General features: G+C 36.0%; 1 protein-coding gene across 13 annotated transcripts in view; it reads right to left on the bottom strand.

Annotated features, from left to right (window-relative positions):
• The window catches only part of SLC4A4 (solute carrier family 4 member 4), a 509424-nt gene that overhangs the window by 73073 nt on the left and 416705 nt on the right, over window positions 1-19646 (bottom strand). For all 13 annotated transcript variants that reach the window (XM_024454268.2, NM_001440628.1, NM_001134742.2 and 10 more), the window contains 2 exons: window positions 11993-12063; window positions 1319-1510 (listed from right to left, as the gene is read on the bottom strand). In XM_024454268.2, the coding sequence (XP_024310036.1) occupies window positions 1319-1510; window positions 11993-12063 (263 nt within the window). The remainder of the gene's footprint in view (window positions 1-1318; window positions 1511-11992; window positions 12064-19646) is intronic.

Below are 19646 nucleotides of genomic sequence, written 5' to 3'. Positions count from 1 at the left end.
ATCAAGAAAGCACATTTCCCAGTGTCTTTAAGAACAGGCAGTTAATCTGAATGCATGAAACAGCCAATTCTTAGACAACACAGAGCTGGGAAAACAGTAACTATCTGCAAAGTACAGATTCTACCAAAAGTCTCAAGTAAGAGAGAGAGAGTGTGTTTTTTTGTATGTATACACACTGTGGGCTAAACAAAGAATGGCTGTGGGTTGAATTCTTTCTGCCTGTGGATCACCAGCTTGTAATGCCCATGTTAAGCAGACTAAGTTGAATGCTTCTTTCTAAATTTCACTTTGTGGAAATTTTTCATTCCTTGGGCTATCTACTTCTAGACATTTCATTATCAACCCTTCTGTTTATTTTCAATTTTGTAAGAAGAATCAGAGAGTCAAAAATTTTCTAGGTGAAAGTAAATATATTTTCATTTCCTAGAATTTGGAAAAAGGAATTTCATCAAGTGCATCTCATATTTTAAAATTCTTCCATTCCTTTTACATATAATGCAAGAAGAGCTGTTTCATGAGATGTCAGCTGTACAGAGCAGGTCACTGATATAAATCAGGTGTAATCAAGATTGCCTAAGAAATACTGACATCCTAAACACTAAGAACTGAACTGTAAAGCAAAGGATTATCTTAGTTTGATTCTGCAGGCAAAAAACCAAAATGCCATTAACTAAATATTAGTCTTTTCTTATAGCATCTCCATGAACCCACAGTTTGGACTAAGCTCACTCAGGCATTTTAATGGGAGACAGGATGTTTGCACAACCCAGTTTAATTATCTGTTTCTCTGTACTACGGCATTCATCATTACGGGAAGGAAAGTTTGGCTCATATGACAGTCATATCTTACACCAATACTTGTGTAACAACACAATTTAAGTTTACTCCCACAGCCCATAATTCAAGTACTAAAATACTCAAATGTACAGCTGCTGAAGAAATTCTACACCATGGAAATTCCTGATAAACATGAAGAGTTTTTGATTATGTACTTAAACACAATGAATTTAAAAGGTATTTTTCTTCACTCATGCATTTTTAAATATAATTCATCTCATTTTTTTTCCTTTCAGCACATTCAGAATTATGAGAGGTATATGACAGAATTATGTGAGAAAGTCCTTGGAAGGTTTTCCAAAGCTTGACTAGACTTACGTTAATAAGTATGCACATGAACAAAGATTGAAGTGTAATGTTTAAAACGCACAAAATTATATTGGACACATTGAATTACAGGTGCCTTTTTCACCTTGTAAAGTTGTATTATTGTTGATACAGTGTAAATCCAATGAAAATCATTTAAAGTTCAGGTACTTACTGTGGTTGGAAAATAAGGACTAGTTTTGAATTTTTTCAGAGCCATGGAAGAGGTGTAGGTTCCCAAGAAGAGGATAAAAGACATGAGTGTGATATCAGGAACAAAATTACAGTTGTTCCCGACGAGGTTTCCTCCGTATTTTGAACACTCCTTCTTCGACAAAAATGCCCAGTCAAAGGTAGTATTATGGTACTGAAGAAGAAAAACATTAAAATTTTTCTAGAGAACATTGACATATAAAAAGCAGCCTTTGATACTTGATGAGCTATAGGAATTATACCAAAAGTTTCTGTAAAACAGTTTGAAAATAAGCACTGGAGGGTGAAACTTGATGAGGTGTTCATGGAATAACAGATAAGATGGGCCAAGAGGGTGGCAATTGTTGAAAATACAATGAGAATGATGCAATTTGTTACCTAGTTTGGGCAACAGCCTTAAAATCGCCCACTTGTTCAATAGAAACCACAAAGTACTTCTTTCCTGCACACCTTCCTGAGAGTAAACTGAGACACATTAATATTCTAAGTCTCAAAATGTAAGACTCTCTAAAACGGTTCCCTTTTTCAAAAAGTACTTACCTTTGTAAGGCACAGCTTCTTACGTGTCTACCTGATGGCCCTATGGTTAATGCTCTAAAAGTTGTAATAGGTTAACTACTCACCAAGCACTTTCACAACTATTCTGTTTCTTTTCTAAATAACTAGGGACTGGTGATTTAAGCAATTAAAGTATAAAAATATGGATGGTCCCTGCTTTTTCAATTGCATATTCTAATAAAGTATAGATTTTTTTCTTCTTGACTCTAGGTCAGCATTATGAGCATCTGTTCTTTGTATGTGCTGTGATGCCTTTAAGGCTATGTAGTTGTGTATGGAATATCCATCTCCATGTTACATGGCCTCAAACATATGGTCAGTTTTCATGTATGGCTGTTGTGGGGTCAGTGCTGTGCTTCCCTCTAGCAGCTCACTCTTGTTCCTATTTTTTGTTTCTAATACATAGGAGAATCCTTTTGCTAGCATAGTAGATAGGGCCAGCACACCCATCCCCCAGTTGCTCTGAGTACTAGCTGCTCTTAATTCACAGCTGTCTTTTTCTCTAGAGAACTGCCATTAGCCATTTAAGAGCCACCTCACCTGCAATGTAGTGCCCTCTCATAGCCGATTACTGACCAATACTAACCGGGGTCTAAAACTATACCCTCTTCGTCTCCAGGTGAGAGCAACTCTACGCACAATTTATGCTCCACAGCTCCCATGGGATCAGGCTGAAGCAAAACTCAGCTGAAACCATATCCTTGTTTAACTACTTCCCTGTCTTATACTGCTTCTCTCAATCTGCTTTTATTGAGACCACTGTCTCAATAAAGTCACACGCACCCCAAATCCCTATATCTGAATCTGCTTCTATAACAGCCGACTTACTTGAATTACCAGTCAACCAAAAGTTAATGGCCTCTAAGCCTAAGAAACCTTTTCTAAAATATCAGAGTTTGGAGGAAACTTGGATGATTTAATCAGATCTATCACCCTTAGTATTCAATAGTCCTGAAAGATGAACATTCATTCTCTGCCTGAACATTTTATGTGACAAGCAGTCTCCTGGTTGCTCATCCCCTTGCTTAATAAAATTTCTGCACAGATCGCCCTTATACTGATGTTTGAATCTTCTTAAATATCCTTTACCTAAGTTTCTTTTGCTATGCACAACACTTTCTTGCATACTGTGACAATCTGGCTCTTTCCTGGGAAGAGATTTTCAAAATTGTACCTATCTAAATGGATGCCAATGTGGTTGGGTGGAAGGGACTGGGTGTCTCAGCTTAGAACCATTCTAAATACCCATAACTTACTCCTCTTAGGTCCAGGGCTAATGGATATGTCATATGCTATCAGAAGAGTTATTTGAAAACACCTTGCAAATAAATGTGGAAAGATAAATTTCTCCTGTCCTTTGAAGACAAGAGTTCTACCTCACACCAAACACATCATCAATGTCTTTTACTATTCAATGAATTGTCATGATATGAGTAATATAGTCATAAAAGAAGAATCTCTTCCCAGAAAGAGTTCATTTTTTTATAGAGCTCAAAAGGTAAAGTGCTTACATAAGTCAATAAAAAACAAACTATATATCTTTCCCTGAAATATTTTTCCTATAGAAGCTTCAACTTGTAAACAGCTGAACTGCATTCTTGCTTTTATCAAACTCTGCTTCTGAAAGGTGATTAATCATATCTCATTTTGTTTTTGAGGTTTCTGCATATGGATGTTTACAGCAGCATACATTTAAAGTTTAGAAGTCATAATAGCTAACAGGTTTCTTTGTTTTAAAATCAGCAAAAATTTAACATAATTTCACTTCAGCACTTTAATACCAGCAGAATTCTTCTCTATAACTAGAGTTGCCCACAGATAAGTTGCATTAAAGCAATCCTGACAGGAAGTTCTATTGATTTTCTTACAGAGATTCAGGTTGAGGTGAAGACTATACAGATGTACATGAAATGACAGACATGTCTTCTTGCTTACATCAACTTAAAATGCCAAATGATCACTATTTTGTAAGCCTCAAATGATTCTTTGTATCACTATCCAGAAACTTGAGTCTCCAAATACCACCTTTCATTAAGGACTTCAGTATAAAAACTGTAGGTGGCATGCACATATCTCAGCATATTTGGCATTTCAGAATACAAAGTTTCCTACTCCCATAAAACTTAAATTCTAGCTAATAAACAATTCTATTTAGATATCACTGAAAACACATCTATATTATCTGTATTATTTCAATATTATTGTTCCATATAAGCTGATGTCAGTGAAGGTTAATTCCATAAAACTTCAGGCAGGGTCCATTTCACCAACAAACTTACCTATGACCACTGCTACACCTGATGTTCAAGCCACTGTTGTCTCCTCTGGCCTTAATACAGGAGACCCTTAACTCATCTCACTGCTACTGCCCTCTAGCCCTTACAAGTGGTTCTCACATCTCTATGGTTTTGATCTTTATTTCCTATGCAAAATTCTATACATACTGTTTAAACGGTTAAATCAGAACTTTAAGAACAAGACAGTACTGGCATGGTGGCTCACATCTGTAATCCCAGCATTTAGGGAGGCCAAGGCAGGAGGAGCACTTGAAACCAGGAATTTGAGACTAGCCTGGGCAACATAGCAAGACCTCATCTCCATTATTTTTTTTTTTAATTAGCCAGGCTAAGTGGTGCATGCCTGTGGTCCTAGCTACTCTGGAGACTGAGGCAGGAGGATTACTTCAGCCCAGGAGTTTGATGTTACAGTGAGCTATGATTGTGCCGCTATATGCCAGCCTGGGCTACAGAGCAAAATCCTGTCTCTGAAGAAAACAAAGAACAAGACAAATGGGAACACAATCTCAGAAGTCCTTTCTGCCTGTTAGAATTCTCTTAGCACATTATCTGTTTTCCTTACGATGCGTGTAATGTTTTATTACAATTTATTGTAGCTTCCTCAATGTTCACTGTTGTAAGTTTGAAAATATTCAGAGAGATATCTAGTGGGTCTGAGACCTAGATCTAGGAGAGATGTCAAGTTTAGAGACATCTACTTAGGAGTCATCAGGAAAGAGCTGATCATTGCAGTTGTAAGACAATAAAACTACAAGGGAAAAATGTGCAGGAAAAAAGAGTGTAAAACATCTAGGGTATCCACAATGGAAGTGAAGATACCACAAAACACTATGAAAAAGTCATCAGAGTGATGGGTAAAAAAAGTACAATGAGCTGAGAAATGCGTGGGAGTGAAAAAATTGCAACAGCAATTACAGACTATTTTTTCAAGAAATACTATAACAAAAGAATAGGTTAGAATATGCAAATTGCAAGGTTAAGGCAAGTTCTTTGGGGTTGGCAAAAACTTTTGAGGTGTTTATAGTGGATGAGAAATAATCTGGTTAGGGGGATGAAAAGGAAAAGAGATTGATGGGAAATGCAAGAATGGAGAAAGGAGAGAGAGAGAGGGAGGGAGGAAGAGAGAGGGACGGAGAAAGAGAGAGAGAGAAAGACAGAGAGAGAGACGTCCCAGGACTTAGTAACTGTTTTGACTAAGGATGGATAAAAGCTAAAAATGATAAATGTATGGTGCCTGAGGACCAAAGGGACTGTGCATCAATAAGGAAAAAAAAAGAAAAGAGCAGAGCAAGACAGTAGCAGAATTCAATTTGGGATACATTAGGCACTGAAGAAATCATTGTTGATTGAACAAACGAAATCTGTCATCATGTCTGGAATATATGACATATTCAAGGAAGATATCTACCAATTTATCTACTCTTTTTATCTGGAGGACAAGATTAAATTAAAATAAACTTTCAATTTAGAGTTGCTGGGTAAAATGTAGGATGCCCAGTTACATTTGAATTTCAGGTAAACAACAAATAGTATTTTCAGTATAAGTGTTTCATATGTAACATTTAGGACATATTTATACTAAAATTATTCAATATTTATTTAAAATTCATCTTTAACTGGGCATGTTTTATTTTTGTTTGCTAAATCTGGCAAAACTATTTCAATTAGATATAGAATATTTTGAGTTAACAGTCACATCTAGAAAATAGAAAAATGTGGCCACAGGAAAATAGAAAATGCACTGAGACCTAAGTGCATGAATGAACGAATGTAACCTTTACAGGTACAATAAAGATAAATAAAACAACAACTTTTAAAACTTTCCCTAGAGAAATAAAGTATGTTAACTTAAATATTAACTAATAATATAACCCAGTAAAAGGAAGTATCTAAATGAGTGGTATGAAGATCAGATGGTCAGAAGAGGGAATAATCATCTTCATTGAGTACAGAGAAAACAAAATTTAAACTAAGCCCTAAAAGAGGGACTGGTTTTTGCAGAACTCTCGTATTCAAAGGGCAGCAGGAGTAAGAGCAGAAGGACAGCAAAACTGTAACAAAAGGGAATAAAAGCGACAAACTTTAGATGTGCATTTCTTTCTGCACTGGCAGCAAAAAAGAAGTAAAGTATTAGAGAGAGAGACATCAAGAGCAAAGATGCTGATATGGGAACATACAATGCTTCATTCAGTTTTAAAGACTTACTGAATGCTCACCTGTGTGGGGATCTAACAGCGGATAGACCAGATGGGCTGAAGCAGATTGTTTAGGTAAATGGGTACTGGGGGAAAAGATTTAAAGAAAATGATCAAGTTGCTGAGGATCTTAACTGTGGTAAATCTCATGAAAAGAGATTTCAATCTATTTTTTGAGATATCTTTTTCAAGAGAATTACCCTGTTATACTGAGTGGATCTGCTCGCAGTTCTGAAAAGTAGTATGCATACCAAAGGATTTATTTTAAAATTTAAAAGACCACAGTATCCTCCCTAAAGGAAAAAGTGAGGGATAATATGAGACAGGATGGACAAAATGTTCAAAGCCATTGAGGCTAGGTGATGCGTATATGGGGCTTCACTGCTTTATTCTATTTTAGTGCATATTTAAAATTTTACGTAATACTTTTAAAAGTAGGAATATGTAATCTTCAAGGAGATTTAAGGACAGAATGGTTTTTACACTTGACTTTCTCGGTGAGAGAAAATCACAAGGATGCTTTGCACAAGAATATTAATACGACATTCCATTTCCCATGAAATGAATGTTAATTCCTAGAATCATCATGAAGGTTCTTAGTCCCATGATTAACAGCATCTCTGGGTAGTATAATAAGTAATAATAATAATAAAAATAATAATTAAAGGTTCTGTATTACAGTAGATCCTCAGTGTCATCAATAGGTTCATGGAAACTGGAACTTTAAGCAAAATGAATGTATAACCACCAGTTTTACCATAGGCTAATCACTATAAGCAAGAGTTAAGTCCCTATGGCATATTCCTGGTCACAAAAACATCACCAAACTTCTAAATAAAGATCAAAACATTTCTAATATTAAATGTTAAAATAAATGTGAGCTATACATACATTTAAGAAAGATTAGTAAAAATAAGTAAGATAATTATTATCATTCCAGGTCAGGGTTGTGAGTGGTCAGAGCCTATCCCGGCAGCTCAGGGTGCAAGTCAGGAACTATCCCTAGACAGGACACTATCTCATCACAGGGTGCACTCACACACACACCCACACTCAGTCTAACTGGGAAATTAAGACACGCCAATGAACCTAATATGCATGTGTTTGGGATGTGGAAGGAAACCAGAGTGCCTAGTGAAAACCCATGCAGACATGAGAAGAACATGCAAACTCCACATAGGCAGTAGCCTGAGAGTCAATTTCTCTTTTTTTCATCAACGTTACAATGAAGTGGTGTAATCTGAGGACGTGCTGTAGCCCTTTTGAGTACTGACTGATAAAATATGTGCTTTTAAAAATATAAATGAGAGTGATACCACTAATAAAAGCCTCAAGGTTAAGTTGTTGATGTACTTATTTAGAGTTTTTTCCCCCACAGTGGTGAGCCAGATTTGCAGTAATCTGAAATCTTACCTTATCATCTACAGCATGCATTTGAGTTACAGTTGTCTATACCATTATAAGACATCAAGATAAACTGGTTGTTCTGCTTGTGATTGGGATTATAGAAAATTGTGAGAGGCCATCACTCCCATCCTAACAACCAAAGCAAGCTAGATACCCTATAAAAATCATAGTTTTAAAAAACTCACCATTAAGATGAGGAAAAAAGTCAAACATTTTTTATTTTATTATTTACTTATTTTTAAGATATTAATACATAGTCTCACTCTATTGCTCAGTCTGGAGTGCAGTGGCATGATTGTAGCTCACTATAACCCTACAGGTGTGTGCCATCATGCCCAACTAATTTTTCTATTTAACGAATTTTTAATGGCTACATGCAGACTGGGGTGACAGAGCAGAATTCAGAGGAGTCCTAGGCATAGATCAAGTCTGCATCCACTCACCAAATTTTCTCACGGTCTTTGCCAAGTGCATGGGTAATACACGAAAGACTGGGGGTTGGACAGGAAAGCTAAAAGAGTTCCCCCTTAGATACATGGAGCCTCTCTTAAGTGTAAGGAAGCCACTTTCTTAAGATGGGAGGCAGAGAAGCAGAGCTGAGAGAAACTTCTCTGAGGCATTCAACCACTTTGGAAAGGGCTCAGGTATCTGCCATCTGAAGGCTAGGGGCAGAGTATTTGGGCAAAGAAAGATCCCCCAAAAAGAAAGCTAGGGTATCAAACAAAATACAGCATTCCATGGGACCTTCTGGTATGATGGAAATGTCCTGTATCTTGTTTGGATAGTAGTTACAACCATCAAAACTCATTTCAATGAATACTTCAGAACTGTGTATTTTAAGGTATGCCTCAATTTAAAAAAAAGGAATCTGATGTGGAAAAACAAAATACTAACTGATCCTTTCAATCACTTCTTCAGAAGAAACTGACATTTGATTTTGAAATCTGGTGTCTCACACTCTGAGAGCTGGAAACTGCAAGCCAACAGGTATTAATGCTCATTATCTAGATACAGTGTGAACAAGCTGTGGCTAATTTTAAAGGTTTACAGGAACCTTTTAAGGAATTTGGTTTGCAAGTTAAAGGGATATACCAAGCAAGAAATCTATAGAAAAATTGGAGAAAGTGAGAAGAAATAAAGACACCATTCCAACAATAAATGGAAATTTTAAAACCTGCCTTTTTATCTTGAGACATAGTTATCCTAGAGTTCTAATCTCTGTTTAAATGCTCTAATACCCCTCTCTCCTGCTCTTTTCCCTGAAACATATCCCTACCACCATGAAAAAGAAAGCTTGTCTTCATGCTAGTGAAGCTGAAGGGAAAAGACCTTCCTTCATCTGACAGGATGTACTGAAGGCCTGTGAGAGCAAGCCTTGCTGGCTCCAGGGGATGCATGTCACTTTTCCTGTACCTTCTCTCACAATCTAATTATGGCTGAAATGAAAAAAGGAAAATTAAGTCCTGATGACTGTGTGTCCTAGGAAAGGTTCAGGATAGGAGAGCCGGCTAGCATAACCAAGCAGACGGAGGACGCAATAGCCTCTCAGAAGATGGGCTTCCCAATTTCCTCTCTCCATTAAACTTCTGAGTTATGGAGGCTGCATGACCTAATCAAATGATAATACCTAGAAAGAACAGTAACAATACCTAACACTGACTGAGAGATGACTACATGCCATCCATTATGCCAAGTTCTGCCTATCTATTAAGTTGACACTCACAGTACCTTTGAGATAAGTACTATTACCATCCCGATGTTGCAGATGGGAAACTAAGAAGGTTCCACAGCTTATTAAGTCATGGAGCCCTGCACTTGAACCAGGCAGTCTGACACAAGAACTCAATATCTGTGAGTTCCTCTACATAAAACACTATGCTGCTTCCTGAAAGGACAGAAATAAGGCAGATTCTAGAGGCAGAAAACCCTGAGTTCAAATCCTCATTTTACCATGTACTTGTAATATGTATGGTCTTTGGGAGGTCAGTTAACTTTTCTAAGTCTCTGTTTCATCTATAAAATAGGGGTAACATCTAATAACTCATAAAGTGATTGTGAGAATTATAGACAATTACTGTGAAGAGTCTGGCACCTAGTAGGTGCCTCAATAATTGATCATTATGATTGATGGTAATAAATCATATTTAAAACTCATTTCTGAGTCATTTACCTATATTGTATGTGTGTGTATACACAACATATAAATACGGGTAATGATATAAATGAAAAAGGAGAAATGAAGGATAAAATAAAAGTTGGCCTTCATGACCACACACACACACACACACACACACACACACACACACACATTTTTTCTTCTAACTTCTTTCCCTAGAGGTGCTGAACATAGCACCTTCACATTTTAATTAAGGTATGCAATTGATGCATATGAAGGGATTGCTGCCCTGGAATATGGGGCATCTATAGGAACTGGAAGGGTAAACATTGCCATTTGTGTACATTGAAGCATCATGGTATACGAGGAATGGCACCAGTCTAAGAACCACCCAGACTTCACTTCAAATCTTTGTTCTACTAATATATGGCTATGTGACCTAAAGCAAGAAAGGTGATTTACCCTCTGGAGCTTCAGTTTCTCTCATGTATAAAATAGAAGTAATTAACCCTGGTAGTTTATGTTGATGGTTATAGTACATATTAAGGTCTACAATGATGAGAATATGTGTAACACATGTGGTCTCTAGTAGGTGTTCTATAAATAGTAGCTAAGTTGAAATGACATTATGCCTCTATGTCTCTATCACAGTCACACTAGAAGTCAATCAGAACTTCCATTTTTTTTCAAGAACCTTATTGTAACATTTTGTTTTAATACATATCAATTGCTGGAGTTTCTGCCAGGACTTCCCAACGACAGGGCTTAAAAGTTCATTAATTTTAATGATTCCCTTGATTAGTTACAAAAAGAATTAAGTTAGATAACAATTTCTTTTCTTAAGTCAGTGGAAGTGAGTGTTTCACTAATATTTATTACAAATTAACTTATGTTTTTATTAACTATATTAGCTATATTTTAATTAAAATATATATTATTAAATTATAGTTTATTAATTATATTTTTACTATAAGAATTTTGAATAAAATTCTTTCAAATCTAGAAGGAGGCAGTTTTGCCTGTATTTAGGCAAGACCTTTTAGGCAATAGGCTGACCAGTTGAAAGACTGAAAGTTGAACTCCTTTCTGTATGCATGTGGTAAAACATATACACATACTTTTTCACACACCTAACATCAAACATGGAAGAAATAGAGAAGTAAGTTTGAGAAAAGTCAGAGAAGACTTTAACAGCAAAAAAAGCAGTCAAGAGAGCCACAGAATATAAAAACAAAAAAGAGGGTCACGTGAGAGTTGCCCAGGAAAGATACAAAACATCATCTTTGAAAGGGATGTTAGGGCACTCACTACATAATATCTGTAGAAATGTCCGGGTCTCCTGAGAGATGGGCACTCTATCAACACAAGGTATTATGGCTTCTGTCTTTATAACTGAAAGATTGATATTCTTTGGTAAGATTCCATGTTCAGCATAGAAGGAGCACAATTGGAAGTCTGAAACAGCACTTTCCCCTTTTTCTCCAATACAAAAGCCTCCTTCCAGTGTGTGACCTTCCATGCAAAACAGCTCATTTTTAAAGCTTAGTTCCAGTCTCCTAAAGATCCTTGGTTACCAGCCATGGGAAAGGATATCATGTGACAGAGGCACAGTCCGTTCTAAGTGACAGGGGAAAGGTCCTGCTACAATCACTCTTAGTGAAGAGAACACAGCACCATTTGGTTGGTAAGAATTCTTAACCATACGAGAAACAGAGAGAGGATACTGTGCTCTCATTTTCCAACTTCTCACATTTTCCCTTGTGAAAATATTTCGAGGTTACAATTAATGCAATGTGGCAGTTAAATTCTAAGAAGTTTTAAAAAGCATGTTATAGAAGTAAATATTGGCTTCAGCTTTTTTTAAGGCAAATAAAAAAAAAGTGCTGACTAGAGCAAAGGAAAGTGGCTTTTTTTTTTCCCGTCCCTCCACTGTCAATAATTGTTACGTATGTGTTCATGCCAGAATTGCTGAGTGGTAGAAGACATCATATATTATAAGTATTATAAACAAGTATACAATATGCAGTCAGTATGAAGGTAATTTAAAATAGTAAGTCACTTACCATGTCAGTAGAAGACATAGTTGGCAAATACTCTGGGGCCAGTGTGGTGTCATTAGATATTGAGATATTAGCTGTAAGCAAAAGATAATTATTTTATACTATAAAACTAAAATAGAAAAAGACCTTAAATGCATAATTAGGTATTTTTAAAAGCAGGGTTATACAGTAAAAATGTCTTTAATAACAACATAAGGGCACAATGAATTTTTATTTATTATAAATGTGTTCACCTTTCACCTAGATAAAACAAAGATTTGGACACATCTGCTGTGCTCTAATCTGATAAGAAATGATGGTGAATATTTAAAGAGACGGTATTAAAATTTGTTTCAGGTTTCAAAAAAAAAAGAAATAAAACTTCCCTGATACTACAAGGTACTCAATATATTTTGCTAGTGGAACAAGGGCTGTTCATAATTGATTAAGTTGACCACTGGCTTCAGAATGTACAGGAAAATTTCCCATATTGAAGCTTTACTAATTAAGACTTAAATAATTTGTAGCTTTTGGAAATTTCAACAGTGTATGAGAAAGGTTATCTTTGCAAAATGTGTGAAAACAAGAGACAGTATTAAATAATAAAAATATAATGGAGATGAACATTTAATCTAATTTTAAAAATTATTTTCATATAATGTGGCGTCATTTATAGGTTGAAGATGGCACTTGAAGAAGAACCTAATTTATTAAACCAACGTTCCTCTTGGAAATGTTTCATTCCTTTTTTAAAATTTTATGTGTCTGAAAATTAAAAAACAGTATTTAAAAAGTATTCTATAAAATATTTTTCTTTATCAGATAAGCCTTTTTCCTATTTTGCAAAGCTTTATGTATTATAAAATAAACTATTAGAGCATATTCCTAATTTATAGAAATATTATAAAACAACACATCAGGGTTTTTAATTATTTGTTTGTTTGTTTAGGGTCCCATAGTTTATTTAACATCTGAATTGCTAGCTACTGTTTGATCCCTACTCCAGTCCCTCTGAGCCACTAGCTTGCCTTTTTAGTTTGCCATGCTTCAAGTCCTGCCTATATAAACCTTTAAGAAGAAACACACAGGTTTTGATAGCTGACATTAGAGTATGAGATCCATAAGGGAGGGACAGAAGAAGCTTATCTCATTCACTGTTTTTCCCTAAAATCTACCCAGTGTAGCTCTTAACAGGAACTCAAAAATATTTGTTTACTGTCAATAAAGGAAGTTAGAAAAGAGGGCATTTCATGACTAAAAATGAATGAGAGCAGATAAATTGGGGAAGAAAAAAAACAAGAAAAACAACTAAAAGAGATAAAATATTTAGCTTGAGCCCTACTTTTGGTCAATTTTGGAATTCACTCTGGTCTTTCAAGACTTTAGATTGTAAAACTGTTAAACTAAAGCTAGCTGTTGCCAGAGTTTCTCTATTTCAGCAGTAAAGCAAGTACATGTGCATTATTATCTGTGTTCTTATTCTGTTTCATTACAGATCACAGAGGGAATTAAAATAGGCTGAAGCACATCAGAAAGCTAATCCACCACGATCAAGTAGGCTTTATCCCTGGTATGCAAGGTTGGTTCAACATATGCAAATCAATAAATGTGATTCATCACATAAGCAGAACTAAAGAAAAAAATACCAGATTATCTCAATAGATGCAGGAAAGTCTTTGGATAAAATTCAACATCCATTCATGTTAAAAAAAACTCTCAACAAACTAGGTGTTGAAGGAACATACTTCAAAATAATAAGAGACATATATGACAAACCCACAGCCAACATCATATTGAATGGGCAAAACTTGGAAGCATTGAAAACTTGTGCAAGACAAGGATGCCCTCTCTCACCACTCCTATTCAACATAGTATTGGAAGTAATGGCCAGGGCAATCAGGCAAGAGAAAGAAATAAAGGGCATCCAAATAGGAAGAGAGGAAGTCAAACTATCCCTGTTTGCAGACAACATGATCCTGCATCTAGAAAACCCCACAGTCTCAGCCCAAAAGCTTCTTAAGCTGAAAAATAACTTCAGCAAAGTCCCAGGATACAAAACCAATGTGCAAAAATCACTAGCATTCCTAAATATTAACAACAATCAGGAACAAACTCCCATTCACAATTGCCACAAAAAGAATAAATGCCTAGGGAATACAGCTAACCAGGAAGGTGAAAGATCTCTACAAGGAGAACCACAAACCACTGCTAAAGAAAACAGAAATGACACAAACAATAGAAAAACATTCTACACTCATGGATAAGACGAATCAATATTGTTAAAATGGCCATAATGCCCAAAGTAATTCATATATTCACTGTTATTCCTATTGAACCACCACTGAGATTCTTCTCAATGTGGAAGTAGAAAAAACTATTTTAAAATTTATATGAAACAAAAAAGAGCCCAAATAGCCAAAAAGAACAAGGCTGAAGGCATCATGTTACCCAACTTCAAACTATACTACCTGGCTCTAGTAACAAAAACAGAATGGTACTGGTACAAAAACTGACACATAGACCTATGGATCAGAATAGAGAATCCAGAAATAAGACTGCACATCTACAACTATCTGATCTTCAACAAACCTGACAAAAAGAAGCAATAGGATTCCCTATTCAATAAGTAGTACTGGGATAACTGGCTGATCATAAGCAGAAAATTGAAACTGGACCTCTTCCTTATGCAACATAAAAAAATTAACTCAAGATGGATTAAATACTTAAATGCAAAACCCAAGACTATAAAAACCCTAGAAGACAACGTAGGCAATACCATTCAGGACACAGCCATGGGAAAAGATTTCATGACAAAGATGCCAAAAGCAATTGCAACAAAAGCAAAAATTGACAAATGGAATTTAATTAAACTAAAGCGCTTCTGCACAGCAAAATAAACTATCAACAGAGTAAACAAACAACCTACTGTATGGAAGGAAATTTTTGCAAACTATGCATCTGACAAAGGCCTAATATCCAGTATCTATAAGGAACTTAAGCAAATTTACAAGAAAAAAAACCAGCCCTATTAAAAAGTGGGCTAAGGACATGAACAGACACTTTGCAAAAGAAGACATACATGCAGCCAATAATCATATGAAAAAAAAAGCTCAACATCAATGATCATTAGAGAAATGCAAATCAAAACCACAGTGAGATACTATTCACACCAGTCAGAATGGCTATTACTAAAATGTCAAAAAATAACAGATGCTGGTGAGGTTGTAGAGAAAAAGGAACACTTATACACTGTTGGTGGGAGTGTAAATTAGTTCAACCATTGTGGAAAACAGTGTGGTGATTCCTCAAAGACCTAGAGACACAAATAACATTTGACTCAGCCATCCCATTACTGGGTATATACCCAATGGAATACAAATTGTTCTATTTCAAAGACACATGTACACCTATGTTCACTGTAGCACTATCCACAACAGCAAAAACATAGAATCAACTTAACTGCCCATCAATGATAGGCTGGATAAAGAAGAGGTGGTACATATACACCATGGAATACTATGCAGCCATAAAAGGAACGAGATCATGCCCTTTGCAGGGATATGGATGGAACTGGAGGCCATTATCCTTAGCAAACGAATGCAGGAACAGAAAACCAAATATTGCATGTTCTCACTTATGAATGAGAGCTAAATGATGAGAACACATGGACACATAAAGGAGAACAACACACTCTGGGGCCTATTAGAGGGTGGAGAGTGGGAGGAGGAAGAGGATCAGGAAAAACAACTAATGGGTACTTGGCTTAATACTTGGGTGATGAAATAATCTTTAAAACAACCCCCCATGGCACACATATAGCTATGTAACAAACCTGCACATGTATCCCGAACTTAAATGAAAGTTACAAAAACAAAAACAGGCTAAAGGACATTTGGTCTAAACAATAAAGCCGAATGAATCCATTCTCAAAAGGAAGAAGATGTTAGTAAATAATTATTAACAAAATCTAGGTTTATATTACTATGTTGTTCTAAAAAGCTGAAAGAACATTTTCTTACACTGTATTTCTTCATTTTAAAACATCCTAGAGCATATAATGGGTATACTTTTATACCCATTTCATATTGGATGGGACTCTGAAGCTTGCTATGCCAGTTACTTGCCCAGGGTTATAGTTTATCAGAAGCAGAGTTGGTAGCAAGACCTTGTTCAGCATTCTTTCTTGTCTTACACAGCATTTCTAACCATCAAAATCAGATGACTTATGTGGCCACAGAATTCAAGATGAGATAGTACTTGCCAATGTTAGATGATGTGACTCTCAACTGTGATCTGAAATGTCTGATCTGTCTGAGCTTTTGAGGAAAGGCAACATATATGAAATTACAGATACTATTTGGATAGTGTTGAGAAGCTTCCCTTCTTGAGCTAGATTCTTTAATGCAATTTTATCAGCTTCCTGTCACGAGAGTTTGAAGGTCTTTTTGCAACACACTTTTCTGCATAAAAACAAGGAGTAAAGACTGAGGAGGAAAGATATTCAAGGCTCTTTCTTCATGAAATGAATGATGGATAATAAAGGCCAGGGGTGTACTAAAATAGGATTGCAATCTGAACTTTTAGTAGCTGCTCTCAAGTTTTGGATAAGCATCAATTCTGCTCATTTAAATTCCTTTTAGAATTTCAATTTTTTTCCCCTAAGACAAGCTATTAAAGCACATTGGCTCTCAAAATCCCAAAAGACCAGCATCAAAAGGACAGTAAAAAGTATATAACACTTTCCATACTTATTTTAATAAGTATCTGCTTCAGAAGAAAGACTTGAAAATAAATACATTTAAAAAGCAGTTTCATAATTGCATATTGGCAGGGTATGTTAGAGTCCATAAACAAGATTAAAAGTAAATTTCTTTAGGCTCACAGAAAAGAAAATGATCAATCCCAATTGGAAGCTTGGTCTACAAGAACCGTTGGTTACCATTTGGATCCAGGTGCAAATATTTTGGCAACCAATTGCAGAATGATCCATTTATATGGAATCTGCAATCTCCTTAATTAGGATTCTGGAAAAGTCAAATGGAAAAGCCAAAACACTCTACACTGTCTCTCCCATTTACTCAGCATCCTGGCTCATGAGGCAAAGAAACCCTTTGCCCTAGGAATCTGGCTAACTTAGATGTAGCCAATTACCACTGGGACAATCTCTGTTTCATACTGGCTTTCAGAGAGCTTCCACAGGTTGATCGTTTTCCATACTTGGATTTTCATATCTCTTTCCTCCTTCCCATGTATCAGATTTTAGCTGATTTTCTGGAATGAGGGAATGAATATTGTAAGTAATTGACATTTACAAATGTATCTGTGACTTTTCCTTCTTAGCCTATTTATTCCAAAAATTTTTTGTGTGTGAAAAATCAGACCTTGGCGATGACCTTGAGCAGTAGGATATAAATAACTCCCACAAGCTTAGCATTCCAATAATGGAACACTAGGCATTTAAGCTGACTTCTTCATGTTTAATGAGAGATTTAGAGAAAGAACAAGTGGATCAAGTATGGCTGCAGTTGTGGGAGCTGTGAGAGAAAAAAGGAGGTGACATCCATGTGTCAGTGTTGGCACACCTCTTGCATAGGGGAGTATCTGTTGCACTGTTAAAGGTTCTTCCCCTTTATCTTCTAGTGACCTGGCCCCAGGAACTACCCCATGGCTCCTCTGCTTTACATATTAGCAGGAACTGTACCATCAGGAACAGCTACAAACTCACGTGAGACTGTGAGGTCAAGTGTAAGCAACAACTGGTCACTAAGGTCATATCTGTCTGCTTTTATGTATCACCTAATACAATGTGGAGAAGGGGGTACTAGAAAAACTGGGCTTGAATTCTGGACCCAGCACCTTCTGAGCATAGTGCCCTTAGGCTCCCACACCACATAATCTTGAGGAGTTACTTCACACCTCTTGACCACATGTTCCTCATTTGTAAAACTGGATTTGAAACCATCTACCTCATAAGGTTACTGTGCAGATAAAATAACACAGTGTAGGCAAAATTGTAAACACAGGATAGATCTAAATAAATGGCAGCTAAGATTACTCCTAGCTCTGTGACCTGGAGAAAGCAGACCTTGTCCCTGGGATGAATGTCAGCTATCTCTCAAGATTTATGTGATGGTTAAATATACAATGTTATCAAGATATAGTTGATTAAAATCCCCTAGTAAAATGTCTGGCATTTGGATGGTGCTTAATAAATATTAGCCTAATCTGAACCTGTGCCCTCAACATGGCTTCTTAGGGTTACAGCTATGTGGCACTGATTAACCCGATGTGAACAAGAAAAACTTTAAGACTATTTTCCATGATAATGAAACTTTAAAGTTTTATTCCATTACATTTAAGAAACATCTTAAGGCAATTAAGTAACTAGAAAATAGATAAAGGATAAAATTAAATAAGCTCTGCCACATGGTCATGTCAGATTTATTTAAGGGTTCTGGATAACTTGAGCACACTAGTACCTTTTGATTAAGTTAAATATGTATGCTTTTAATTTCTAGGTCAATAAAGGCAACAAAGGGTAAAAATGGCTTTTGAGGGAAGACAAAGGAAAACTGAGAGAAGTAGCTTCTAGGGAAATTATTTGCTACTATCTCAGCCTTAAGTATTAAAACAGACAAAATCAGTAGTAAGTTTTTCTTTTTTTTTTTTCTTATTATCCTTTTAGTTTTCCCAAGTATTTTCAGCAAGACTTAATGATTGAGATTTTCACCACAACTAGGCAAGTTCAAGTTGTATACTCTTTAATCTACAGGCACTCTTCACAAGTTCATCTACGATGGTGTGCTGGAAGTTAAAGAGCTGAGCTACTGTGGAGATATTGAGATGAATATATTTAAGCTGGGCATGGTAGCATGTGCCTGTAGTCCTAGCTACTCAGGAGGCTGAGGTGGGAGGATCACTTGAGCCCAGTAGTTTGAAGTTGCACTGAGCTATGATCATGCCACTGCATTCCAGTTTGGGTGAAAGAGTAAGACCCCACCTCAAAAAAAAAAAAAAAAAAAGATGGGCATATTTTGTCCCCAATTTCACAAAAACTTCTCTTTCATACCCACCCATCATTACATCTTGGAGATGTGTTATAGACATTACCATGGGGAAACTTTTACAAATCTGCTTTTACACAACCCAAAACTAGAGAATTTTCCAGGTCTGATGACAATCCCATTTTCTGATTCCGGCAAGCATTATGCAGAAACTGCTAAAACATAGGTTAAGACAGTAAAAGCAAACTAAAATGATGGGTCTCTTCCAAAACACTATTACCATAAATGATAAAATGTCAACTGTGCCGGTAAAGGAGTCTCACAAATGCAAGCCTGAGGGATGCTACAGCAGAAGAACTTATACTTCCTTGTTTTACCATTAGTTTATGATTTAAACCTACCTCATAAAGAGGGAATGGCACACAATAAAAATAAAATTGCATATATTATGATATAGTTCATGGGAGGTAAGTTAGGATGATCTTTTATTTTCTTATTTTCTTTTAATGGGCTTTCTAATTAAAAAACACATATTGACTATAATATGGGAACACAGGGGATGCAATCCAGCAGTTCTTTTGAATGGCTATAACATATTGTTGCACAGCGCTTATTAATATATTAGAAAAATTATGTAGAAAGAAATGATGTTGAAACTCCAGTGACAACTATTT

The sequence above is a fragment of the Homo sapiens genome, chromosome 4 (assembly GCF_000001405.40).
Source record: "Homo sapiens chromosome 4, GRCh38.p14 Primary Assembly".
Lineage (NCBI taxonomy): Eukaryota > Metazoa > Chordata > Mammalia > Primates > Hominidae > Homo > Homo sapiens.
This window is presented reverse-complemented; position numbering and strand designations above follow the sequence as displayed.